At 41.7% G+C, this 27,923-nt stretch overlaps 1 protein-coding gene and 1 long non-coding RNA gene across 4 annotated transcripts in view, besides 2 other annotated features; one reads left to right on the top strand and one right to left on the bottom strand.

The window, feature by feature from the left end:
- The first annotated feature begins 18 nt into the window (after positions 1–18).
- On the top strand, positions 19–25,932 carry OPRK1 (opioid receptor kappa 1). 3 transcript variants are annotated; one of them, NM_001282904.2, is made up of 5 exons: positions 19–208; positions 571–875; positions 8,744–8,917; positions 16,545–16,897; positions 21,827–25,932. In NM_001282904.2, the coding sequence occupies exons 4-5, from the start codon at positions 16,555–16,557 to the stop codon at positions 22,357–22,359; spliced, it is 876 nt and encodes a 291-aa protein (NP_001269833.1). In that variant the 5' UTR covers positions 19–208; positions 571–875; positions 8,744–8,917; positions 16,545–16,554; the 3' UTR covers positions 22,360–25,932. The 3 variants fall into 2 exon arrangements, with proteins under 3 accessions (NP_001269833.1, NP_000903.2, NP_001305426.1); NM_000912.5 differs by lacking the exon at positions 8,744–8,917.
- Positions 6,177–6,306: an enhancer, noted in NCBI's record as "active region_27356". NCBI's record gives its function as "activates an Ori minimal core promoter by ATAC-STARR-seq in GM12878 lymphoblastoid cells {active_cell/tissue: GM12878}" and the evidence as "EXISTENCE:reporter gene assay evidence [ECO:0000049][PMID:35858748]".
- Positions 15,479–15,538: an enhancer, noted in NCBI's record as "active region_27355". NCBI's record gives its function as "activates an Ori minimal core promoter by ATAC-STARR-seq in GM12878 lymphoblastoid cells {active_cell/tissue: GM12878}" and the evidence as "EXISTENCE:reporter gene assay evidence [ECO:0000049][PMID:35858748]".
- LOC105375836 (uncharacterized) overlaps positions 21,403–27,923 on the bottom strand; it is a 52,683-nt gene continuing 46,162 nt past the window's right edge. The window contains exon 3 of the long non-coding RNA NR_188096.1: positions 21,403–23,728. This is a non-coding gene — a long non-coding RNA (uncharacterized LOC105375836). The remainder of the gene's footprint in view (positions 23,729–27,923) is intronic.

Raw genomic sequence — 27,923 nt, 5'->3', positions numbered from 1 at the left:
CCCCGCAGAGCCGCCGCCAGTAGTGGGAGACGTGCGCTGAGAGGCGGGGGCTGCGCTCGGCGGAACAGCAGCCCTCGGGCGGAGAGCGGGGCCGGGGTCCGAGAGCAGGTGATGCCAAGAGCTGAGCGGGACTCGTGAGCGCGCGGTTCAGCACCTACCAGGGCGTCCCGTAAAAAACCTCGCCTTCGCCTGTCTCTGGGAACCATAGGTAAGCTTTGGGCTTTCGAGGTGCAGTTCTAGGTAGAGCTCCGTGCTGGGAGGTGGGAAGGGGGCTTGACCCTGGGGACTCAGGCAGTCTGGGGACAGTTCCACCAGGGGCCGGTGCCTAGAATTGGTGAGGGAGGCACCTCAGGGGCTGGGGGAGAAGGAGCGAGCGCTCTTCGCCCCTCTCTGGCACCCAGCGGCGCGCCTGCTGGCCGGAAAGGCAGCGAGAAGTCCGTTCTCCCTGTCCTGCCCCCGGCGACTTGCGGCCCGGGTGGGAGTCCGCAGGCTCCGGGTCCCCAGCGCCGCTGGCCAGGGCGCGGGCAAAGTTTGCCTCTCCGCGTCCAGCCGGTTCTTTCGCTCCCGCAGCGCCGCAGGTGCCGCCTGTCCTCGCCTTCCTGCTGCAATCGCCCCACCATGGACTCCCCGATCCAGATCTTCCGCGGGGAGCCGGGCCCTACCTGCGCCCCGAGCGCCTGCCTGCCCCCCAACAGCAGCGCCTGGTTTCCCGGCTGGGCCGAGCCCGACAGCAACGGCAGCGCCGGCTCGGAGGACGCGCAGCTGGAGCCCGCGCACATCTCCCCGGCCATCCCGGTCATCATCACGGCGGTCTACTCCGTAGTGTTCGTCGTGGGCTTGGTGGGCAACTCGCTGGTCATGTTCGTGATCATCCGGTGAGCGCGGGGACAGCGCAGCGCTGGGGGCTGGGCGGGGCAGGGAGTGAGGGTCAGGCCCCGCCACTGGAGCAGCAGTGGGGGCAGCCAGCCAGGTGGTGGGGACTCTGTTCCGTGAAGGATCCTGGAAATGCTACAGGGTGGCTTCCTAGAAGAGGTGAAGGATTTTCTGGGAGTTTTTGGTGGAGTGCTGAGAGGTTCACACAGGCGAATCCGAGCGGCCAGGGGCGTCTGGAAGATTTCAGAGTAACCCCCCGACCCCACCCTAGGGCCCAGTGTTTCTGCTGAAAACTCTATGCGCAGGGCAAGGTGCCAGGGTGCTGACAACAGGGTCAGGGGTTCCTGGTAAAGGAACTAATCCATTTGCCTGCGCCAGTTTGGAGCACTTTGTTATGCCCTTTGCAAATATTTCTTAAGATAAATTTCAAGCCCACCCAATGCACTGAAGATAATTCCGAATTTCCTGGGACTCCTCAGACTGGTGTTTTGGCTTATGAAACAAAACCTGATATATGCTCTAGCGTTGTTGATATGCATATATGAGCCTTTTTAGTATCAAATGGCATCCCATTTGTTAGGAATATCAGTAAATAATATTTATCCTCTAAAACATGGCCTGTGGAGATTTTCAAAAACTACTTCGCTGTTTTTTTCACCATGAGAAATTGAAGGTTTTATTTGTGTGTGTGTGTGTGTGTGTGTGTGTGTGTGGAAATTTCTTCAAGTCAACTTCCAATAATAAGTATCCCAATATCCACATATATGCTAATTTTTTGGTAAGCAAAGTGATTCTGACTTTAAGAAAGAAAAACAAGAAAAGGAAAACCTAACTTTGTTCTGCACTTTTCTTAAGATAGATGTGTTTCCTTTTCTGGGAGCACTAGAGCTTTGTCAACACACCTGTGAGAGGGAGTAGGAAGCTTGTGTTCCTTTGAGAAGTCTCTATGAAATAAGGGCGGGATGCAAGTCACCCTGGCTAGGGACTCTGAAACGATGAATAGCTGATTTTTTTTAAGCTTGATTTTAGTTTTGAAACAGGCCATTTATTTATTATGAACTTTAACAACCATATCATGAATGGTAGCATAAATGTTTCTCTTGGAAAATTATCATAATAAAATACTGCTTTATTTTTATTTTTACTTTTTTGCTTGAGAATGTCAGGTCTTTTATTCCTATGTATGCTCTGACATTAAAAACCATCATTTAAGTCGCCAAACACATATTATAAAGCTCATTTCATCAACAACTAGTGTTTATAGCTTGGTGCCCTTGGTTTTCATAATTGCCTATTGCATTTCGCAGGAATTCTATCCATGATGAGTAAAGGTTATAGAAGGAAGGAATATTTTAAAATTAAATTGTTTGTCCAAGTCATTAGTAATCTCAGGGCTGGCCTCCACTAAAGAGACAATTAGACAAAAGAAAAGACAACTGTATTCTAAATTTTAATTAAAAATTTTAGGAGATCTTTGGTACAGAAGCTATTTATTTGGTGGTGGGGTAATAGAAACATTGTTAAGCAAAAGAAAGCTCTAGGAAAAAAAATAGCTCTGTTTCTACCCATATCATATTTAGGTGCTCAAGTAAAACAGATACATATTGTTATTTGAATGAGCCCCTGAAGTCTGCAGTTTGAAAAGAGCTTTGTAGTTGCTCTACAACCTTTTGCAGACTAGGATTAAAAAGAATGAAGAATCCTAAAATAACATTTAGATGTTATGTGCAAATATAACTCCATGGGGAACATTTGACATGTAAGAAGGAAAAAAAAATCCTGTAGATTAGCTAGGATTTTTAATGGATAGATTTCCCAAATATATCCAACACTAAAGTGTGTTATAAGGGGATAAGTTCAGCTAAAAATATAAAAGAAGTTGGATAGTTCACATACATCATTCTCCATTCTCCCACCTCCCAATACTTAAAGGTTACGTTTGATGATGAATGAAAAGCGAAGAGTTCTACTGCCATCCTGGAGTACCAACCTACTGAAATCTATCTAGTTCACTTATGGCTAGAGCACATACATTTTAAGGTCTTCACAAGTAAAAGGTTAATGTCTAGTGAACCTAGTTCACTCAAGTCTATAGCTAAGAAGGAAAAGGAGTATTTAGTATTATTTCATAATGATAGATGGTTCAAGGATTGAAAAATAAAACCTTTGAAGAAGAATTGATGTACTTGGGTTTATTTATCTTAGGAAATGAAGAGACTGAAGATCAGAGAGAGGGTGGCATGAAGTGGGTTGCGTTGTGATCATCAGGCCTGAGTGCAGAACCAGGGTGTGGAGGCCCCATAGCCCTTGTTACTGAAGAGACTGAGTAGCTGTGCTTGAAAGATGAAGGATACTATTTTATATGTTTTACATGGGAAAGGCTCCTAGCATAGTTCAACCTTATAGAAAATCATTGTAGAAATGGAACTTAGATGCTCAGAGTGTGGGCAGGTGCAGATCTAGACTGTTCAGCTCAGACCTGGGGAGAAAGAGCTCTGGAGAAAGATATGCCTACTTTTAGGCCTGCCTTACAAATAGCTTTTCCCACCTTGGGCCCCTGGAATGCTGCCTCGTATCTTCTGATTTAAAGTTTCAAGAGTTCTCATCATTTAGTGTGTACCAACTGACATAATCCCTTGATAATTAGGGCACATTAACTTTCACTGTGGAGACCTTCAAATGTCAGTGCTCCAGCCCCCTCACTCATCAGGCTTTGGGGTTTGTGGTTGTTGGGTGTGAATGTGGGTGTGACCCTCAGGATTCTTTTTTTTTTTTTTTTTTTTTTTTTTTTTGAGACAGAATCTGGCTCTATTGCCCAGGCTGGAGTGCAGCGGCATGATCTCAGCTCATTGCAACCTCTGCCTCCCAGGCTCAAGCAATTCTCTCACCTCAGCCTCCCAAGTAGCAAGGATTATGGGGATGCACCACCATGCTAATTTTTGTATTTTTGGTAGAGATGGAGTTGCACCATGTTGTGCAGGCTGGTCTCAAACTCCTGATCTCAAGTGATCTGCCGGCCTTGGCCTCCCAAAGTGCTCGGATTACAGGTGTGAGCCACTACACTTGGCTGACCATCATGATTCTAATCCTGTGGTTCCTGACTTCCTCCTGTGCAGGATTCCCCCGTGCAGTCTTCATTTTTCATTAATTAATGAACACCATGACACTCACGCCCCTTTGCCCTGCCAGAGGCAGCCCTACCTCTGACATCACAAACATCCATTCTGCCACTCTTACCACAACTTCATACGCGTTCGACTTTCTCCTCCCTTAAAGAAGATAACTAACATTTAATGAACACTTAATATGTGTCAAGCAGGTAAAGCTACCTTCTTCATGTGAATTATTTAATCTTCACAACTATAGGTATATCATTACCATACCCACTTAACAGATGAGGAAACTAAAGCGCAGAAAGATGAAATAAACTAAGGTTACACCTGGGTAACTCACGGGGCCAGAATGATGCCAGTGGCCTGACCATTGATCCTATGCTCTTATCCATTCTGCTCCTCATTTCCCACCATACCACTCCTGCAAACATTTGGATTCTTTCTTTCCAGGAGGTTCTACATTTTCTCCCAGATTGTCTCTTTTTCTCTTCCCCATCCTAGACTGCATGAGCTATCACTTAAAGCTCTGTCTTGACAACACACCCAAGTGTCCTGCCTTCTTGTACTTCTGCCAGTGTCTTCCACCAAAGCCTTAACCCTTGATCAAGCCAGTAACCTACCTTCCTTATTCCTATACCCAGCTAGTTGGATGCTGTTGGATAAAATCAATTTTATTTTTGTCAAGACAGTCACCACCTTCAAGTATATCTGACCCTAATTCTCCCTAGAAGTTTTTCTGTGTCCCTCTTCTGTTTTCCAGAAAGAGCCAATTCCTTGTTTCATTTCCCATTTTAAAAAATGAATTCAAATCTACCCTTATTCCCAAACCCTCCACCTGATCATATTCTCTTCATGGTCATATTCTTTACTCTCTTTATCATATTCTCTTCATGAGTGTTTTTACCCAGTACTTCACCAAGACACTGGAGTGCAGCCCTCAGGAACACTGCTTCTCTACATACACACTTTGGCAGCCATCCTCCCTGCATTCTGTTTTGTCTCACAGGAAGATTCTCCTTCCTTCTATCCAAGGCTAATTCCTTCTCCTTGGTTTTGAAGCTCATTGCTCCTGGGGTCTTTACCATATAAGCTATCTCCTTTCTACTGTGTCTGCAATCTCTCCCTCTTCACCTGCTCTTCAGCACATGAACATAACCAAGCATCTGTCATCTTACAAACAATCAACAACCCACTATCCACCAACCCTCCATTTTCCTCATTTCCTTAGCTAATGTCCTTCATCCTCCTGCCTGTCATGGGTAGGCAAGCTTCTTGGAGGAGTAATCCCTACTCTTTGTTTCCTTTTCTTCCACGCAGTCCTCTGCCCTGAGCATTTGAGCTCCCCCTGATGCTCCTTCACCAAAGCCCTGGTGTGTGTTTCAGATGCTCGTTTTAGGCCACTTTCACTTGGCTTGTGTGGAGGGTCTGGCATGCTTGGGTGACCTTAGGTCCTCACTTTCTCGAATAGCACCCTCTCCTTGGCTTCCCCCACATCCTCTGGCATTCTCCTTGCTCCCCTGCACAGATTGCCCTTCCTCTGAGGTTTCCTAAATGCTCATATTCTCCAGAGCCTTCTCAGCTCTCTTCTGTCCTCACTTTGCATATTCTCTGTATTAGTCAAGGATCAGCCAAAGAAGCAGGACCAGTAGAGGATGTCCATGTTAAGAAATTTCTCACAAAAAAATGGCATAGGTGACTGTGGGACTGGCTAAGATAGGAAGTCAGGAGAGACAAGCTGCTGCTCTCCAGGCAGAATTTCTTCTTCCTCAGGGATCTTTGGCTCTGCTTTTAAGGTTCCCACTGATTGGATCAGGCCCCATTTTCAGATTACATAGGATGGTCTCCCTTGCTTAAAGTCAACTGATTATGGACTCAAATCACTCCTACAAAACACCTTTGCAGCAGTACCGAGATGAGTGTTTGAAAACCTGGGGACTGTAGCCTGGCCAAGGTGACTCATCACACTCCCTTTCAATGGTTTCATCCATTTGTGTGGCCATAACTGTCAGGTACATTCTGACAAATCCTAAATCTAATTATCTCTCTCTCTCCCAGTTATCCATTCCTTTCTGCAGACTCAGCTGGACTCCTTCCTTCTAAATGGCTCAGTGTGATGATCTCCCTGACACCTCAGGTTTCTAGAGCCTCCCTTAGTTTGCTGAGGCTGCCATAACAAAGCACCGCAGACTGGGTGGGTTAAGCAACCCCTGTTGTTGATTGTCTCACAGTTCTGGAGGCCAGAAGCCTGAGATCAAGGTGTCTGCAGGGCTTCCCCTGAGGCCCGAGGCCTCTCTCCTCGGCCTGTAGATGCTGCCTTCTCCCTGTAACTTCACATAGCCTTTCCCCTACACATCTGTGTCTTAATCTCTTCTTCTTATGAGGACACCAGTCATATCAGATTGGGGCCCACCCATATGGCCTCATTTACCTTAATTATCTCTTTAAAGCTCCTGTCTCCAAATGCAGTCAGCCCTCATTCCATATCTGTGAATTCTGCATCCATGGATTCAACCAACCATGGCTGAAAAATGTTGTTTTTTTAAATTGCACCTGCACTGAAGATGTACAGACTTTCTTTCTTGTCATTATTCCATAAACAATAGAGTATAACAACTATTTACATAACCTTTACATTGTAGTAGGTATTATAAGTAATCTTGAGATGACTTAGAGTATAAGGGAGGATCTGCATAAGTTATATGCAAAAACTATCTCATTTTATATCAGGGACTGGAGCATCCATGGATTTTGGATCTGACGGGGGCATCCTGGAACCACTCCCCCAGGGATACCAAGGCAGGACCGTACAGTCACATTCTGAAGTACTGGGGTTTAGGACTCCAACATAGGAATTTTGAGAGGACACGGTTCAGCTCAGAACACTGCCCATCCTCTTTCTGTTCTCCTTAAGAGGACACTCTGTCAAGCTTCAGTTTTCACAACAATTATGTATATGTTCTCTTTTCATTTATTTCTGTAAATTAATTATAAGGATAAACAAGGAAATTTTGTCAAGAAAAAATAGGAGGAATCAGAAAATTCTTTGATCCTTGGTCTTAGTTTAGCCTATTCCTTTTCTCATTAGTTGTAATTAATTTGTTGCTATCACAATACAGACCTGTAGGGTTCAATCTCTCACGAACCTTCCTCTGGGAGACTTTTGCTTCCCTACAGTTCAGCCTCAGCAGTATTGAAACCTCCCCAAAGGGGGAACTTTGTAAGGGGTGTAGAAGAAAACAAAACTGCAAAAGTACTATGGAAATGGTTACATTTCCTGAACTCAAATTTCTGCACCAAAGGGAGCCAACTCACCCAAGCTTGCTAGGCGTAGAGCTTGGTCCTTCTAAAAATACTCCTCTTCTTGCTTATAAATAGCAGGATACAGTGTTTCTTCCCCAGTCCACTGAACAGAAGTTCCAGGCTTCCTCTGCTGGGATATCTTAGGTTATGTGCCATTTACTGACTCATTCAAGTCACCCCTGGGCCAGTCTGGGCCTCATGGTTGTACTTGTCTCAGCCTCACCAGAACTATGTGGCTGTCTTGGAACTAGAGAAATGTGGGACGGAATGGGGTGACAGAGGGTCTGGCACAATGCCTGCCTCTTCTCTCCCAAGTTTCTTCTTCTCCATCATTGAAGTATGTGTTGTAATCACTGTAGTTGTGTGTACATACATGTTCCACATTCTCCTAAGTGTCAACATAGCCTACCTTAGATAATATCACCAAATCACACATACAGAGGCATTAAAAAAAAGCAAAGGTACAATATGGTACCTGTATAATTCACCAATGGCTGCTCCCTACAGGACACCAGTCTTATTTTAGGCTTTGGTTAATATAGTATGTTCTAATTTTTCTTGAAACTGTCTTTAATTTCTTGATCCTGTCTTTAAACATTTTCTTTAATACAAATGTAGCAAAAATAACTTCAGAAATTATTTTCAAGAGACTATCTTTCATTTCTCAAAGTAATTTGTATACATTTGACAACCTTTTGAAAGAGAGAATTGCAACTGCTTATGTGGATTAGCCAAATTATTTTCTCCCCTGAGGGATGTGTGATCACAGATGGAGGCCAAAGTCTCGTGGAACTGTTTCTCAGGGATCAGAGACTATACAACTGCAGAGAGAGAGAGAAAGAGAGCAAGTGAGAATGCGAGAAACCAATTGGGTGATCAGGTATAGAGGTCCTAAACTTTAATAGACTCCAGGAAAAACTGTAGCCTTCAAAATCATTTCTTGATTGTGTTGACTTTACGTGTTTTCTGATGCCTGTCTCAGAGTTAGTTTCAGAAGGAATTTGCTTCTCACTGGTACAGAATATCTCCTCTCCATGACTCATTCAGCTGCATCTCATCAGCAGCAATATTTTCATGTGGCTGTGCAGTTGGCACCTCCCTTCATTCCTGATTAACTTGGATGCACTTAATTGTCATGGCCCCAGGAGTCTCTGTGCTCAGCTAAAAATCTCAAATTGTATGGCTGCAGGACAGTTGCCTTTTGAAGGTTTAGCTTATGTGGTTTCAGTGGTGCAAGTAATACATACTTAGAATCATATTAACAAGAGATAGTTTCAGAATAACATTGATTTATTCCTCAACAGAAAGATCAGCAGCAGTCCCTTTTTTTCCCTTTCTTTGGAGGGGGTGCTGGTTTATGTCTTGGATAAGGAAGGCTTATATATGAAGAATAGATTTTAGGAGTGGGGATAATACTATAAATGGCTTAACACTTGCCTTCTCCATTGGCCAAACAGGTTGGAATTTCAATGGAAGACGACAAAACCATGTGATGAATTGAGAGATCCCAAAGGGACTGGTGTGAAGCCGGGCAGGGAAGCCTTGGATTAAGAATGGCTGGAGTGGCCGGGCGCGGTGGCTCAGGCCCGTAATCCCAGCACTTTGGGAGGCCGAGGCAGGTGGATCACGAGGTCAGGAGATGGAGACCATCCTGGCTAACACAGTGAAACCCCGTCTCTACTAAAAATACAAAAAATTAGCCGGGCGTAGTGGCGGGCGCCTGTAGTCCCAGCTACTCGGGAGGCTGAGGCAGGAGAATGGCGTGAACCCGGGAGGCGGAGCTTGCAGTGAGCCGAGATCGCGCCACTGCACTCCAGCCTGGGCGACAGAGCCAGACACCGTCTAAAAAAATAAATAAAAAAAGAATGGCTGGAGTTAGTTACATGCAGTCAGAGATCAGCTATGACAGGACTGATTTTCAGAGCTCCTGTTGAGCTCACTCAAATTCACAACACACCTATGAAATGAAGATTGTTAGAGCTCGTTTTCAGATGAGGAAATCAACTACAGAGGTTTAATGAACTGCCCAAGGGCAGGCAGTTGTTAAATGATCAATCCAGTATCACAGCCCAGTTTGCTTAGCCCTGAATCTTCTCAGCGCCCTCTGCCTGGCTGGGTTGCTTCCTGTCCAGTGGAGAACTGGCTTCATGGGTAGAGGGCAGCGCAAGAGGGCCATCATCCTCCTCTCCATGTGCCCACGCTCTGTGGCTTGCTTTGACTTAGGTCAGCTTTCTGTATAAAAATAGGAAAACTAATTTTAAGTATCCATATACCGCTAGGCATCCGGGTAGTTGTGCCCTAGGAAAGTGCACGCCAGTCATTAGCGAGGTGCCATTTTCTTATAGGTGCTGTTGGGCGTGAGAAGCGCTCACCCTGCACATAACCCTGAATGCACTAGAACGTTCCTTCTAGGGGTCCAGAGGCGCATGATTCCACAGCCGGGACAACTGAGAGGAGGAGCTTAGCAGCTCCCAGGGGCACTGGCTGTTCCCGCGGAATCATCGCTCCCCGTTACCCTTCCTTCCTTGCTTGCTGCCACTCTGCATGGGTAGCCTGCACCTGCGCGGGGCTGTGCGTCTGGAGTCCTGATCGCACGTGGGTGCCTGCTGTTCTCTTGACGCCTTTGCGCTTTGCACCAGGAGAGTGATTCTGGAGAGCTGCAAGGGCCTGGCTCCTATGTGAGTATGACTCCTTCAGAATACTACAGACTGAGGGATATCAAAGGATATCAGATCCTTTGAGAAGCAGTGAATTTAATTTCCTTATCTTTCCTTTCCATTTTCCTTTCCTTCCATTTTTCCTTTCTTTCTCTTTCCCTTTCCTTTTCTTTTTTCTTTCCTTTCCTTTTACCTTTCTTTTTAAGCAGACAAACAAACATGGAGTCTCTCTCTGTGGCCCAGGCTGGGGTGCAGTGGGGCGGTCAAGCCATCCTCCTGCCTCTGCCTCCCTCCTTTCTTTTCTAGAATTAATAAACTACTGCCCCTTTAGAAAAAAAACCCTACAATTTCAATAGTAAATAACCCAGAAGAGCATATAGCAGTTAATTTCATTGAGGTGAACTGAAACTGACTGAAAAATTTAGTGAAACACTCATTATGTTTTTAAGTAAGTTCCACTGAAAAGTCACGTCAGCACGGTCATCATTCTTCATTTTATTTTTATTTTTTAAACAGACTTTTAAAAAAGCAGTTTTAACTTCACAGAAAAATGGAAGGGAAGTTACAGTTCCCATATACCCCATGCCCCCACACATGCACAGTCTCCATTCTCACATTCCCCCAGAGTGGGACATTTGTGGGACTGATGAGCCTGCATTTACACATCATAACCCAGAGGCCATACCTTACATCAGAGTTCATTATTCCCCCCACCCACAAGCTTTGGTGAGGCATAATTGACAAATAAAAATTACATATATTAAACATGCACAACATGGTGATTTGATATACATTAATTTGTGATTACCACAGATTACACAGCCATTACCACACACAGTTACCATTTTGTGCATGTATGGTGTGTATTGGAGGGGTGAGTACAGTTAAGATCTACTCAATCAGCAAATTTCAAGATAAGCAATACAGTATTGTTGATGCTAGCCCCCTGCTGTAAATTGGATCCCCTGAGTTTATTCATCTTATACTGAAGCTTTGTATCCTTTGACCAGCCCTCTCCATTTCCCCCACCATTTCTGATCATTTTGCACATAAAATCTAGAATGCCATGCATCTGGAAGACACGCCCAGGAAAATGCTTGTTGGCAATACAGAGAAAAGAGCTCCCAAACTCATCTCTGACCATGCTCATCTTCCATCATTTGTGAAGAAGGACTGCATTTTCCCTGCTGCTGCAGAGCTCTCCTCTTACTGAGTTTGGTGTCTTGGGCCTCTTTGGACTCCAAGGGCAGCTCTAGTGTTGTAAGAGAGCCACCAGCTTCCTGTGGGTCCATGGCATTTGATCACACTTGTGTTTTCACCAAACAGCATTTGTTCAGGTGCATTCTATGGACCTTTAGGTTTTTGCTGTATTAAAGGAATCTATTTAGAAAATCACCAGGGCTTTTGTTTTGTTTTGTTTCCTTTTTCTTTTTTATTATATTGGAGCTGAAGTTTGAATTCCCATTGTCTCACTAGTTTGTAGTTTCAGGCAAGTCACCTACTCCCTTTTAACTCAGTTTCCCCACCCCCAAAAATGGGCCTATGGAAAAATTCCACAATGTACATGACATTGTTTTGTCCATTGAGGGGTAGTATTTAATGTATTATTACAGTATTTCTGCCTGGACCTTGCCCTGTTTCTCATGCTAAATGTTTTCTACCCTCATGATGCATACTTGACCGTCCTCATCAGAATGCTTTTCAACATTGAACTGCAGGAAGTGGCAGTATTTATTTCTCTGATAAAATACCTGGTTTTTAAAGAAAGCTTGGAATAAGACAAGCCTGAGTTCCTTTACTTATTACATGTAGATTCCAAGAACTGAAAAACACTGAGAGTATTTCTAAGACGTTTTCTCAAACTTTTTCTCTTCAGAAGAAAGTAGGGGCAGTGATATCTTATGGGATTGTGATATGGCTTATTAGGGCTGTGGCAGGTAATGAATAATAACAGTAACAACAGCAGGAGCAGTCATGTGACAATGAAGGCTGGCATTCACTAAGAAATTATCAAGTACCAGTCTGGTGCTAAGTAATTTTATGCATGTCTCATTTAATCATCATGACAACTTTATCAGATAATATGGAATTCCCCAGACAGTGTCTGTCACATAATGTCATCAATAAATGTTAAAGTGATTTTTTTCCTTCTGGTGTTCAGGGCCCTCTGTGGCCTGACACTACTGTTCCCATCCCAGGCAGCCACCTGTGACTCCTCAGCAGGAACCCTGAACCAGGAAATCCATTTCCTCATTGACTCTGAATAAGACACTAGCCAGAAAGCTTCTCTCTCTGTCCAGATCTTTCTCAAATCTCAAGATCCTGCTAAATTTTCTCTTCAGAATATGTGCTGATTTCCTCACTACACAGCAATCTTTCTCTTCCATGTATTCCTATAGTTCACATTATAATCTGCTCTCAGTTTAAAAGATCCTCAGAGCCAGGGTCTGTATATTGAGTTTTTCAGTCATCCTCAAAGTCTAGTATATTGCTACTTATGGGGTAGGGAAATGAAAGAGTAAAGACAGAGGAGGGGCCATGCACATAACTGGAGAGGGAAGAGAGGGTGCATGCGTCACCATAGGGGACAAGTGCAAGAGAAGACCCAGAATAACTGAAATCAGTGCAACTGAAAGTGTGTTGATTTGAAAGGTATATGGTAATCAGTCATCAAGATTAAAGGTTTATTATACTATTGTCATGAAGGTGAAAAGGAGTTCCTGATTAAAGAAGCATCATTGAAATTTAAAAAACAGAAAACAAACCTAGGCAATGCACCTCAACAGCAAAGCATGCTAATAATCCAATAATTACCTCCTCTACCTCCTGCATATTGTCTGAGTACAGCCATGCATGGAAAGGACAGGAAGTCCTGAGAGTGCTGTGTTGCAGGGTCAGCTCCCCCTTCTCAAGTGCCACCTTTCTAGCATGGTGAGTGTCACGTCCTCCCAGAAACCCTGCCTGGTGACACTGGTTCCTGACATCTCAGCAGATAACTTTGTTCCCCTCACCATCACACAAGCACCAGTGTCTGCCAATTTTGAAGCCAACCCTCGTTTCTCTGTAAAGAGAAGTACGCTAGGATGGTCTTGAGTTAAAGTGTCACTGGGGAGCATTTCTAAGTCTCTGGAACACCCTCCGCCCTGTTGCCTGGCCACCATAGCCTTCCCGGTGCTCACAACTCAAGTTCCCCAGGTAAGCCCTCTTTCCCGGCCTGCCCCTTGCTTCCCATTCCATGCACCGTACTGTTTTTTCAGGTCTGTTATGTTGTCAGTTTAGCGAGGACAGCCCACGGACTTTGCTCTTTTCATACCATATGCTCCTGCGGTGTGTATGCTCAAAAGTGCAGCCACGAGCTGCCAGCCCACTTCCAGCTCCTCCACACAAGCCAGAACTTCCCACCCAGATGGTGCCATTTTGCTTAAAATGCTTGTGAATTTTTGTAAAGCAGTGTGGGTGAAATGGAAAATAATTTCATATCATAGCATAATGAGAAAGCTTGCTTGTTTTTTCAGTGGTGGACATACAGTGAATGAAAAGACTGGCTAATTCTGTTGCGGTTAGATACAAACAATACCCTGGGGCTCAACCAGCCTGCCTCTGAGCGTCACAGCCTTGCTTTATATTCACGTTCACAGAGTAGTCCAGTGTAGTACGCAGAAGAACTATCTACAAATATTCATTGAATTCAGAGTTTATTCATTACTTTTAATTATACTCATGAGTTCTCCCCTTCTAGTGTTGTAGGTTTATAAGCATGTGTCTTCCAGAAACCTGGAAGGGGGCCCTGCCTTGCCACCCCATCCAGATCCTCCCACTGAGGTCCTGCCTCTGCTGACACCAAACAAATCACTTAACTTACCTGAGCCTAAATTTCTTCAGCTATATGAGGGAAAAGACATAAGTCTTTCAGGTAAACTAGAAGGGCAGTAGTTTCGAGAATCAAGTAAGATACGGGGAAGTCAAAATACTGGACTTTGCAAATTACAAAGTGCTGGGGAGATGTAAGAATGGACGAATTGGGATCAAACCCCTGGGTTTAAATTTCTGCTATGCCTATAGTTATATCACTTTGAGAATTTTAAAGAAAATCCTGTGATTCTTAGTCACTTCATCTATAGAATAAGGATACCAGTACCTACCACATGAAGTGACTGTGAGGATGAATTGAGACAAAGCTTGGGGAATGCATGGCAGAGGTCCTGACGCAGGCACTTCGGAAATGTGGTCAGTGTGATTATTGCCTGTACTCATCTCTCTGAGATCTGCAGATGGAGTTTGAATTCTTTACATGTTCAAGTCTTACACAGTTTCATACATCTATTGGCTATAAATATTTTGAAAAACTAAAATCAAGCTATCACTCTACATTGTATGACTACTTAAAGATGCACATTACATTTTACAGTAATTTATGGATCATTGCATTCATGTTCTTTGTGTCAGGTCCTGGGGCTCCTTTTTATTCTCACCTTTTATATTTAAGCTGAACTGGGTAAATATGACCATGGATGTTACCTAGAAACTACATTCTTTTCTGCTTCCTGTGGTAACTGGTGGCTTCCACTCACGTAAGAAGGGAGGTGGGAGTTGGGGAACATGACATAGATTAGACATGCTGTCTGGGTCAGGTGCATTCATTAATTACCCCTGGAACTCTATGAGATAAATATTATAGTTTCCATTTTATAGTTGGGGAAACTGAAGCTCAGGGTGGTTAAGGACCCTCTAAAATATACTCGTTAGTTTGAAAAATAAGGACTAGAACCCAGGTCTGCCTAAGTTTATAGCAAAAAGAATGCCACTCTGACTTCATAAAGAAAGAGGGGAATATCAGAGTCATAAAATACAAGAGCAGGAGTCAGATTCCTGCTGGAATCCTTGCTAGTATCTGGGGTTTTGGGGTGGGAGGAGTTGAAAGAGTAGAAGTTAGGTTTGTAAGATGCATTTTTTTCAAACATAAAACCATATTTTTAAGAAAATATCTGAACAGATAGCATTTCAGTCTTTCTCATTAGAAACATGTGGCTCCTTCTCAGTAACTGTCCTTGCTTGGCTATCTCTGCTTTTCTAAAGCCTGTGCTATGAGAACTTGGCCATCCATGTTTAGTCACTATCTAAAACTTATAGGTCATTTAATAATGTCTGAATAAAAAGTATAAAGGCAAAACACATTTTTAAATAAACTCCTCGCTTTCCAGATTAAATCACTCTTTAGTAAGCAGAACATCCAAATGGAAACTAACAGATACCAACTCTAGTACCCGTCTTCACAATGCCTTCCCAGCTGACCCCAAACACAGCCACTTCCTAATGAGTAGAGATGGGAGGTGGGGAGGGAAGGCAGTGGACACTGAGGCTGGAGTGTGAACCTGTGCATCAGGCCATCTACTGCCCTTGTCTCACGTACTGTGAGTTAGGTTTTATGATTCTTATTTAGCAGGAACTGAAAATCAGATAAGTCATTCTCTGAGTTCAGACTCAGGATTGTCTGAGTTCACATGAGACCACACTGCCTCCAAGAGGAGCAAGAGCTGTTCTGTTCTATCATGAAATGTTCAGAGTTGTTTCTCATGTGGAAATTCATGTATCAAATGGGGCACGCTTGAATTGTGACAAGATCTTCAAATCTGAGGCTGTAGAAAGTAATCAACGTATGGATTTTCCCAACATATTTCAGCTCTTGGCCTTTGAAAATCTGATGGTATGGTTTGGAACATTTATTTAATACTCTATGGATATTTGAGGAAGCATTCTCTAAGCAAAACAACCCTCTTAACTCAGTCTTAGTTGAAAATTAAGTTGTCCTAAACATCATGTTATAATGTAAAGAATAACTCAGGCATAAAAGCAATCTTTCTTACCTACCTTGAAAATTACTCTTCTCTCAATTGGAAGATGAGACATATTACGTGCTTAGAAAATATCTCAAGGAGTAAAGAAAGACAGAATTATTTCTTTTCTGCTGTACCATACTATGCTTAGTGCTATGATGTGTAAGAGCAGAATTCAATCTGCTTTATTTATATAATATATTTAAAATGACAAATTAATGGTGCACTGGAGAACAAAAATCAGCAAACCTAATTGTGTTTCAGCCATTGCAACTGAGCATATATCAAAATTGAAAACCATTTTGTATTTTCAAAATACATCATAATTATAATGATTGATTTCTCAAAATAACCCTGAGGAAAAAAATGTTTTAAACAAGTCAAAGAGAATGAATATAGTGTTTGAAAAATGCTTAAAGCCAAGCGACTCTGGGCAGGATTAAGATGAATTGTCAGCCACAAAATAAAGATCTGTATTATATGCAATGCTAGATCTATATGTCTATTCATCTATCTCTGCTATTTTCTGTATCTTCTATATTGAAATTTTTTAAACAAAGCACTAGAATAAACAATAAAGTTGGAGATCTTTGTCCATTTTTCCTATCAATGTCTAGAACAGTCCATTTACATGTTAGACCCTCAATGAATATAAGAATAATTGAATGAAGAAGCAAAATCAGTAATCCAAAGGCTATCACAAACACATTCACCTTATGGGTTTGACTTGAAAATGGAGGGAAATGCTATTGTTTCTTTTCTTTTAGATACACAAAGATGAAGACAGCAACCAACATTTACATATTTAACCTGGCTTTGGCAGATGCTTTAGTTACTACAACCATGCCCTTTCAGAGTACGGTCTACTTGATGAATTCCTGGCCTTTTGGGGATGTGCTGTGCAAGATAGTAATTTCCATTGATTACTACAACATGTTCACCAGCATCTTCACCTTGACCATGATGAGCGTGGACCGCTACATTGCCGTGTGCCACCCCGTGAAGGCTTTGGACTTCCGCACACCCTTGAAGGCAAAGATCATCAATATCTGCATCTGGCTGCTGTCGTCATCTGTTGGCATCTCTGCAATAGTCCTTGGAGGCACCAAAGTCAGGGAAGGTAAGAGCAGTCATTTCATTCTGTTCATAAAAATGTAGCTTCAAATTACATAGACTTTTAATTTGAGCGTGAGTAGGCCACATATTTAGTGGAAATCGATGCCAAAAGACGACGGAAATGTAGTGCCTAAATCCATGGAAGATGAGAAGTAGAACAATTTTGTGTCCCTTTCCACCTCTAAACACAGAATGCAATAATGACATTGCCAGAAGAGAGATGCCCGACCTGTCTCCCATTCTGGCAATGTTTAGTAGAAAGTGGAGGGGTGAGGATGAGGTAAGAAACCACAGGCATGTGGAATTTTAAAGTACAACCTGGCAAGTCCAGGACACACCTTCTCACTCCTTTTTTTCTCTTTAACAAGGGATATAAATTATTGGTGACATATGCTGGTTCTTTCCTCTTTTATTCCTAAAGGATAACCTCCAAATCACTATTTTAACAGCTTTGGCTGTAGGCCATTCAAAATCAAGTTAACGGATGGTAGTTACAGATGAGCAGAACCACTTGATTTTGGACATATCAGGTTTTACCCCATGCAAACCAGCCAACTGATTTTTTTTTTTTTTTTTTTTTGAGAGAGAGTCTTGCTCTGTTGCCAGGCTAGAGTGCAGTGGCGCGATATCGGCTCACTGCAACCTCTGCCTCCCGGGTTCAACCTCAGCCTCTCGAGTAGCTGGGACTACTGGCACACACCACCATGCCCAGCTAATTTTTGTATTTTTAGTAGAGACAGGGTTTCACCGTGTTGGCCAGGGTGGTCTCAATCTCTTGACCTCGTGATCTGCCCGCCTCGGCCTCCCAAAGTGCTGGGATTACAGGCGTGAGCCACTGCGCCCGGCCCCCTGTTGATGTTTTTCCTGTATTTCTAGGACAGTAGTTCTCACTCTGGGCTGCACATTGGAATCACCTGGGTACTTTAGAAAACACTGCTGCCTGCATCCCACCCCTTAAGGGTCTGGTGTAATTGACCTGGGGTACAGCCTGGGTGTCAAGATTTTTGAGCTCTCTCCAGGTGACTCTGACCTGCAGCCAAGGTGAGAGGTACTGTTCTAGGAGTTTTGCTTTACTAGCAAAATATAAAGCTATAGAAAGCATCTTTGTTCCTCATAGAAATTAATGATGGGGAGGTGAGCAGAATAGTCACTCTGGGCCTACTCATGCTGTTTAATGCTCCAGCAGGTATATAAATGCTCCAGTTTACTAGGGGGTTCATAATACCTGTGAGAGCAGATAACTGAGTGTATATAGTGAGGATTTTCCAGGTCATAGTGAAAGGGCAAGGCACTAAAATCATAGCTTGTCTTGCATGATACATGGTTTGTTTGTTTTTAGACTTAATCTAGTTAGGTTTCAGTTTACAGTTTTAGGTTCACAGCAAAACTGACCAGAAAGCACAGAGAGGCACTTCCATTTACCTCCATTTACCCCACACAGGCACATCCTCCCCTACAGAGTGGTCCATTTATTACAGCTGCTGAACCCACACTGACACGTCGTTATCACTCAGAGCCTGGAGTTTACAGGAGGGCTCACTCTCCGGGTTATGTGTCCTGTGGATTTGAACAAATGTATAATGACTTTATTCATTGTTTTTTAATGAAGCTGATCTTTTCCCTCTGAAACTACAAAATGAATTTCTAGCATAGCCATAGCAGGTGTCAAGCTATACTACTAGGTAAATTTTAAGAAATGCCCAACTTTATCATATTTGCATTTCAAAATATGATTAATCACACATAGGATTTTGTTTCTTCATGCCTACAGCAAATAGAAATAAAGTGCAAGAAACTTTTCTGAGGCAAAGCTTTCACTTTGTGAACGTAAAATGTTGACTCTAATATTTTCCATACTGTAGTATATGTGTGTGTATTATGTGAGGATTCATAGTCTGCTCTTACTTTTTTATAGTAGCTAAGAATTATTATAATCGCTATAAGCAGAAACAATTATTCTTAACAAAATGAATACACACAAGAAAAGCTTTAGTTTAGCTATTAGAACTAACTCTATAATTATGACAACCATGAGATGCTGGAACAGGAGCCAGCAGAAGCCACAGCCCTCTGATATTAATATATAAAGAAACCAAAATCTGCTTGTTAAACTGAGGCAGTTGTATGGATACTTCAACCTGAAAATGCCCCCTTCTTCCTGAAACAGAACATTTAATAAAAATGGCATGCTTGGACAGGAATTTCTTTTTTAAAAAATGCTTAGTTTTTATGAATTCATAATAGATGTACATATTTAGGGGGTACCAGTGCTATTTTGATACAAGCATACAATGTGTAATGATCAAATTAGGGTAATTGGGATATTCATCACCTCAAGTATTTCTCATTTGTTTGTGTTAGGAACATTCCAATTTCACTCTTTTAGTTATTTTGAAATATATAATAAATTATTGTTAACTGTAGTCACCTTCTTGTGCTACTGAACATGATCCTTTTTCTTCTAAGCGTATTTCGTATGCATTAACCAACCCCTGTATATCCCCCTCCCCACAACCCTTCCCAGCCTCTGGTCACCTCTAGAGGTTCTACTCTCTATCTCTGTAAGTTCAGGTTTTTTTTTTTAACCTCCCAAATATGATGCTTGAGGACATGTGATATTTGTCTTTCTGTGCCTGGCTTGATCCCCTTAGCATAATGTGAAGTGCACTGGGATTCTTGATGATTGCCTCAGCACTCTCTTTACGCTACAAATTCAGCTTCATTGACATTTCTGGAGGATATTTCCAACTCTGTAGTGGGACGTTTGTTTCCCAAAGTCTTGTAAAGTAGCTGTTGTTAATTATTTCACCCAGTCATCTAATACTTACCATCTCCCACCACATGCAAGGCAGTTTGTTTGGGAGGAAGCTGAGCCTCGGAGTTAAAGGTCTATCCGAATTAAACAGCAGCCCTGTGCGGCTTCTGCTTAGCTTAGCTTAGCCGGTGACTTTTCCATAATAACTACTGTAATTAGGACACACTTTCGAGGGTTTGTTATTCATGTGGTATGTATTTGTTTGTTCATTTATTTAACAATTTATTCTGTTTATGCACCACATGTTCCAGGTACTACCCTAGGTGCCAGGGATTCAGTGTTGATTAAGGCAGGCTGGGTTTCTCCACTAAGGCAGTTCACATTCTGGATGGAGAGAAAAATGTTAGGAAGGTAACACACAATTACAGATCAGACAGGCTTCTGTCTGGGAAATTGGGTGAATATAACATGTAGACAAAGTGTAAGTTACCGAGGAGAGGACAATTTAAGAGACAGACCTCCATCTAAACGTCTCTGAAGTGACATATAAGCTGAGGTCAGCCACAGGAAACAACTAATGCTGAAAATAAAAGCTAAGCAGAAAAAAACAAACCAAACCATGGTCCCTACCTCCAAGGAAACTCTTCTACCAGATTCAACAAACAAGTCAAAACCCAGAATAGAATATTTATATTGAACTCAGATTTTTTTTTCATGTGTCACCCATCAAAAGTTGCTTAATGGATATCTTATATTCTATTATAATAGTAATGATTTAAAAATCATTTACCATAAACACTAAAGCAAAAGTTAATAGTCTTCATAGTAATATTACTTTGGACAATGACTTTTTTAAAAAATCAAAAATGACAAATTTCTCTGGAAGTGTTCATTTACTACTCCAAGGTTTCATCTGGTATTTCATTGATACATGAAGGTCTCTAAGATAGTCTTTATTAATTGTCAAAAATGTTTATATCCTTTTTATTTTAAAGTATATGTAATTAAAATTCTAGTAAGATTGGATATTCTATTAAGATTGCATTAAAATGTTTTAGAAAACATTAATAGAGCTGTTTTGCTATTTAAAAAAATATTCATGTGCTATTTTTGAAGCAGATTTTTCCAGTGTCAGAAAAAAATATTTTCATTACTGTAATCACGCTCATGGTGTTGCTCATGACTACCTTGTCTGTGAGGAAGGACCAGGGCAAAGAGAGCTCTGCTGTGTGCTCGCTGACTTCTCAGGGGCAGGGGTTGGAAATGTGGGCTAGCTGGTGTTTGGGGAAAGGTGAGCCCATGGGACACCCACAAAAATAGTTTAGAAGGTGTCCATCCTGAGTCCCTGGTCTTCCTAATATTAAGGCTACTCCAAAGAGAATACTACCCAGCAAAGAGAAGCAGAGCAAATATAGCAATTTTCTAAGTAATCACATACAAATATTTGTTTTATCTGAGCTACATAATAATGTTGGTAAAAATGAAAATAAATGTGCCTGATTTACTCAGAATTCCCTTGATGATGTTGATGATTCTCCCCCACCTCCTCCAAAGGTTTTACTTGTGTTTCAGTAATGCCCTTAATCACAATGAGTGTCATTGGTTCCATTAAATGACAATACTTGAGTCATATTTAAACAAATTCCATATCAATTTTTGTTGACCCACATAATGATTTCCTGTAAACCAGTTAATGTTTTTCAAACAAGTTGGCTTTTGTTAAATTCAGTGGCTAGATTTGAAATATTTAGTCATTTATTACAAATAGACATTAGCTTTTTTATTGCCAGAGCCTTAGGTCTGGGAGAAGTGTTAATGAATGGAAATAGAAATAAGTACTCATGGTATACATTAACTCTTTACCTCTTCTGCAAGCCATCAGTGTCAAACCAACTTCTGCAACTAGATGAGCAAGATTGTCAGCTAATCTTAATTCTACAGTATTGTGTATGTTACCAGTAAACAGTGACTATCATCATTGTTCCATGCACAAAGATTAGGATGGCTAACAAAATACAGTATTCATTAGTAATTTGGTGATCTACTTCAGGTAATGTCATCTTACCATAATTGGACCATTGCAATAAAAGGTATTAAAATTCATATTTAAAACACTTTGCAGCCACGGTAATAACAATAACAGGTTTCTGTGTTGTGGTTTTTATTGCCCTCCTCCAGACGTCGATGTCATTGAGTGCTCCTTGCAGTTCCCAGATGATGACTACTCCTGGTGGGACCTCTTCATGAAGATCTGCGTCTTCATCTTTGCCTTCGTGATCCCTGTCCTCATCATCATCGTCTGCTACACCCTGATGATCCTGCGTCTCAAGAGCGTCCGGCTCCTTTCTGGCTCCCGAGAGAAAGATCGCAACCTGCGTAGGATCACCAGACTGGTCCTGGTGGTGGTGGCAGTCTTCGTCGTCTGCTGGACTCCCATTCACATATTCATCCTGGTGGAGGCTCTGGGGAGCACCTCCCACAGCACAGCTGCTCTCTCCAGCTATTACTTCTGCATCGCCTTAGGCTATACCAACAGTAGCCTGAATCCCATTCTCTACGCCTTTCTTGATGAAAACTTCAAGCGGTGTTTCCGGGACTTCTGCTTTCCACTGAAGATGAGGATGGAGCGGCAGAGCACTAGCAGAGTCCGAAATACAGTTCAGGATCCTGCTTACCTGAGGGACATCGATGGGATGAATAAACCAGTATGACTAGTCGTGGAGATGTCTTCGTACAGTTCTTCGGGAAGAGAGGAGTTCAATGATCTAGGTTTAACTCAGATCACTACTGCAGTCTGACATGAAAAGATAGAATTTAAAATAAACTTTTAGAGATCTCATGGTCTGAAGTCATCAGATGCAGACCACGTTCGTGATCAGTGGAAACATCAAGGACAAAAGGTCCACGCAACACATGCACCTCTTCTCTAGGGCACAGAAGCGAGGCAGAGCCTCAGTTCCTCTGATGAACAAGGGAACAGGTCTTTTCCTTCTGGTTTGCTAGGTAAGGTTCAGCACCCATCTGCTGTGGCCTTCCTATGAAACGTAGTTTCAAAAGCTCGGTTTAAGAAAAAAGGAAAAGAAAAAACATTGCTTTCAGAGCTCAATGGGCATCCAATCCAGATGTTTCACAATGACAGCAACAACCTCCAACGGAATGGGAACTATTTCCAGGGTTCATGCCCAGCTCACTGTATGCTGTGTGGACATGCATTTCATGTGGCTGTGTGGTAAGAATTACAGCTTACATATGGCTTGGACCCACATCTGAGGAATCTGATGTTCACTTATACCAGAACATTATCTTGCTATTTATGAAATTATTTAAACGTTCAAAAGATTGTTTTTAACATGGTTTAATTTCCCAAAAACTACAGTTTTTTTTCTTAGCATGCTATTCAGGTAAACAGTCTTATAATAAAGCATGTCCCATTGTCAAGAAACATAAAGTGGTGTGAATACCACTGAAAATATATATATAGTATCTTCTGTAAATAATAGTACCTGTGTGAATAAGGAATAGGCTTGCCTCCCAGCCAGGCAATTTCCTGAGGGCACACTAATGATATCCCCTGAGTTGCTAAGTTGATGCTGAGACATTTTGCTGGGAATTAGTCATGGCATGATCTCTTTCAGACTCCCTGAATACCATTTAGTCCCGTAACAGTGCTCACAACTCATGTGCTAATGAATCACAAAGGCTTTAACTAGCTCCCAGGTTGTAGCCTTCGCAGGATCTAGTTTATTTGCCACATCTCTTTATGAACATATAGCGATTCGCAGATCTCTCTATTCACGGAGAGGAAGGTGTTTTGCTTCTGTAGATCTCAAGGTACTATTTTGTGGCTCTCAGCAGGAAGTAGAATTGTTCCTAAATGTGTGCTGAATGAGGACATGATGTCCCTCCTGGTGCCAGGACACATCCTGCATGGCATTCTGTGAAGGGCATACCTGCTGAGGATAATGCCAGGAGCAGCACATTTAGGGTAATTTTGCTAAAACTTCCAGATGACATATAAATTCCCTCTTTTTCCCCCTGAAACTTACCATTTCAGAGGTAATGGCTTTTTCTGTAATTTGCCTGAGAAGAAAAAAGGGATAATTTAGAAATAACACTCCAAGCCTATATATTACTAGGGCTGCATCCTCTGGAATTTAATAGAAAAATTGAATATATAGCCCTATGTAACTACAGACATCATTACAACTGTTAAGTTCTGTTCACCATGCAAGTTCTCGGTGGTGTATGTACTCTCACCTTTTGGAAACAAAACCTTGCATTGAAGGTTTTACACATGGCTTCAGAATGTTACTCTGACCATGTTTGCCTCTACTCCAGATTATCATGGCACCTAACACAGATGACATATGGCAGAATGGAAGTGATTTCTCCTAATGAAAATGAAGTGCTCTTTTGAGTATTTCTTGTTTTATTGAGATTCCTATCTGCCCTTGTATTTTTATAACTGAATGTAAATAGGAATTGCTTAAATACTGGTTTACACTAATCCCATAGTTAAAAATCTTGGCTATGGTACAGGAAGGATATCTATATAGAGGATAGTTCCAGAAACAAGCCCTGGTGAAATAGGAAATATAAAAACTTCTTTATGGAACAGGAAAACCCAAGAGACTTTCTCGTCAGATTCCTTTCCAGTGCAAAGTATAACAGAGATAGGATTATGAGATGAAATCACAGTAGTGTGTTTCCTTTAATTTTTTCTGTCTTCTTTTTTTTTTTTTTTTTTTTTGAGACGGAGTCTCGCTCTGTTGCCCAGGCTGGAGTGCGGTAGCACAGTCTTGGCTCACTGCAACCTCCACCTCCTGGGTTCAAGCGATTCTCCTGCCTCTGCCTCCTAAGTAGCTGGGATTACAGGCGTGCACCGCCAAGCCCGGCTAATTTTTGTATTTTTAGTAGAGACGGGGTTTCACCATGTTATGCAGGCTGGTCTCAAACTCCTGACCTCAGAATATTCACCTGCCTCGGCCTCCCAAAGTGCTGGGATTACAGATGTGAATGGCCACGCCTGGCCTGTTTCCTTTAAGTTAGCACTTCACGTGCTCTTACAGCGTTAATTGCCATTATTGGTTTGCCTGATTTTCCTGCATCTCCTCATATGTAAGTCTGCAGCCCAAGGAGAGAATAGTAGCTGTATGTGCCCACAAGGGGTGTCCAAGCTTCTTGATTCTTGTTAATATCGACTCCCCAACATTGAAAAAGGAGTGAAGAAGGGAATATCATTTTAGGGTACTGCTTTAAAGGAATGATAAAGTAAACAACGTAGCAGGGAAAATACCACTTGCACAAATGTATTTCTTTGTCAAAGTGTGTACACGCTTTCTGTTTGTCCTGATGTCCTGCTGTGAAGCAGGGACCACATTGCCATTTATTCATTGTTCCAGGCAATGCATTTGTCCAAACCCCTCTGGCTCTCTGATATCTCTCATTTCTTGATGTTCCTATTCTCTGACCTCAACAAGGAGGACACTGTCTGTTGTGTCTCTTTGAGACTAGAACTCCATGTGTTTAACCTTCAGATCCATTCTCTACATGAACCCTATTCTTTCCACCCTGGTAAGAAGGTCTGGAAGACAGGTCCTAACGAGGGGTCAGAGAAGGCACAGAGAAATGAACCAGCCATGCAGGGGCAGCACTGAGGAGGAAACCCCCCACTCTAACTGGGAGGAGAGTGGAAACACTCTTAGTATCTCAGAGTAGTTACCAATCTAAGAGCATCCTTCGAGTTTAAGTCAAAACTCTAGGCTTAATACCAAAAATAATACATCATTTGGAAAAATAGCTTGGAGAAAAAAAATCAATAAAGAGTCACATAAAATCTTAAGAAAATGGTTCTATTCTGTGATATATTACTAAGAAATACAGTTCTTAAACGTGTATAACTATTGTCAGACAATTTATAGGTGTTTCATCTAGTCCTGGGATGAAATACGATGACTCATGCAAATTCAGGGAGCACACTGGCTGACTTTAAATTGGAACATTGTAAAGTGAAAGCTGTGAAAGGTTGTGTGTCCTATCAATGAGATTTATTTTCTAACCAAGAGCTGTTCGGATGATTCAGTATAAATACGAAAATCACATCCAAAAACGGTATAACCCAGCTTCCTTAAGGCAATTTTCTTCTCTGAAACAAGAATATACTCATATGTTCTTTACTATAATGTATATGATTTTTATCTTGTACTTTAAAAGATGATAATTATGCATTGTATATACGATTGTGTGCCTTGCAATAAAATCAAAACTGTACCTGCTGAAAATCACAACAGTCAATTATTGTGGTAAATTATTTATTCTATAATTACTTCAGTGATGCTGCACTTCAGCAAGAACAATGGAAACTGTTTCTCAAAACTATAAGGGTTACTCTAACTTTCCATCCATGACAATGTTGTGGGTGATTAGTGGATAAAAACAAAATATGTGGGGATCTAAACTGTGATCTTTAGTTCCCAGACCTGTGAATTGTGGGGATCTAAACTGTGGTCTTTAATTCCCAGACCTGTGAATTGCTTAGGATAATTCACCTGTTTTCACAATAATGCTGCCAGGATTGATTCAATGTTACCTATTGCTCTCACAATGAAAATCCACTTTTTTCACTACAAAAACATGCAAAATTCAAAATCAAACTGTTCCATCAATAAAAGCATAAAGAAATAGCAACTCCACCTGGAAACACAAGCAGCCTTCTGCCCTGCTCCCAGTACAATACAACACATCCCTGCCAAGAATGATCTGTTTCTAAACCGCATAGTATTTTACACACAAAGAACAACTTAAAACCCAGTATCTTGATGAAAGAAAGATTTGTGGAAGCAGAAGCAAAACTTAGGCATGGGAAGTAAAAAGGGACTCATTTTGCTAATTGGGAAGAACACACTACTGAGTCCTAGTCTCTTTTCAAAACAAAGCAAATTTCTTATTCATGTTTATCTTTGATTGGTAAGTCAATTTCATAAGGGATTGGAGTGCAAGTGTGGTAGGGGCCTCCGCTTCCATTTTCAGTGGAATCTTTGGTTGGTTAGTGAAATGAGGACAAAAATAAGTTAGAAAAATTCTAAGGAAATAAGAGAGCAAATAGTTTTTCATTTGAATTGAGATCCTTTCTTTGTGCTGGTTGTTGCGTATTTGGGTATATGAATTCTGAATATGGAATATAATTAGAAACTTATTTTCTAAAGAAAATTTTAATATATCTGGGGAGATAACTCAATATGTAGCAAGTTTTAGGCATTATAATATCTTCTTTATGATTAATTGGGAGCACTATACATTCCTCACATTCCTGCTGATGGTCCCCATGTTTGTGAAAACTAATGATAACATAAAACAAATGAACAAAGAGACAGGACAGTTACTTTTTTTTCAATAACGTGTTTGAGAGAATATTCAGTCATATATTTCTGTCAGGAACTGTGCTACATTCTGAATAAACAGTGGTAAACAAAACAGGCACGCCCCGTCCCCAACTTTTCTTAGTGCTTTACTAGTGGATTTATTAGTGTCTTAAGTGGCCAAATACATTTTTGATCTTACAGTCTACAAAAAACAAGCAATTAAGCAAGTAACTACAATATATTGCAATGGCAGCACAAATTTTAGTACAACATAGCTTATTCTAAAAGGTCTATTGTAACCAAAAAGGAGTTTAGTTGTTTGCTGAATGCAGAGTCCAGTTAGGGAGTGTGAGGTCTGATACAAAAAAAAAAAAATGTGAATTTATTCAGAAGCTAGCTTGGGGAAGGGCACAAAGCATCCTGCATTTAAATGTGCTGCTTCACTTTGGGAGCAGAAAGCGGGCACTTTTATAAGGTAGGGGAGCAAATGAGCTAGGGAAGTTGTCCCCCTCCTACTGGGCAGTTATGTACTGGGCAGTTGAGTTGGTACCTTCCTGGTCAGAAATAAGTTGTAAAAGTGGCCAAGTGGGCATGCTTTTGACATGCTCTCCTGAGGTGACTCCCTAGATGTGAGGGTTCCCTGGGGCATGCTTTGGTCTGCAAATCCACTGTCAAGGAGAGATCTTGGAGCACATAGATGAACTTACCCTGTAGGGAATGTCTGGCGAGGGGAGGTGAAAGGTTGCATTTGCATTTCTAAAGGACTAAGTAGGAAGAAGGGAGTAGGGGTAATGGGGAAAGAAGAAAAGAAGAGAAAATAATAAAAAAAATTCAACCAACTTAGAAAAATGGAGGTACTTGGTTACACTATCCATCTACCTAGATATATTTTTAAAATTGTTTTATCTGTGTAT

This window comes from Homo sapiens, chromosome 8, assembly GCF_000001405.40.
Source record: "Homo sapiens chromosome 8, GRCh38.p14 Primary Assembly".
NCBI classification, from domain to species: domain Eukaryota; kingdom Metazoa; phylum Chordata; class Mammalia; order Primates; family Hominidae; genus Homo; species Homo sapiens.
This window is presented reverse-complemented; position numbering and strand designations above follow the sequence as displayed.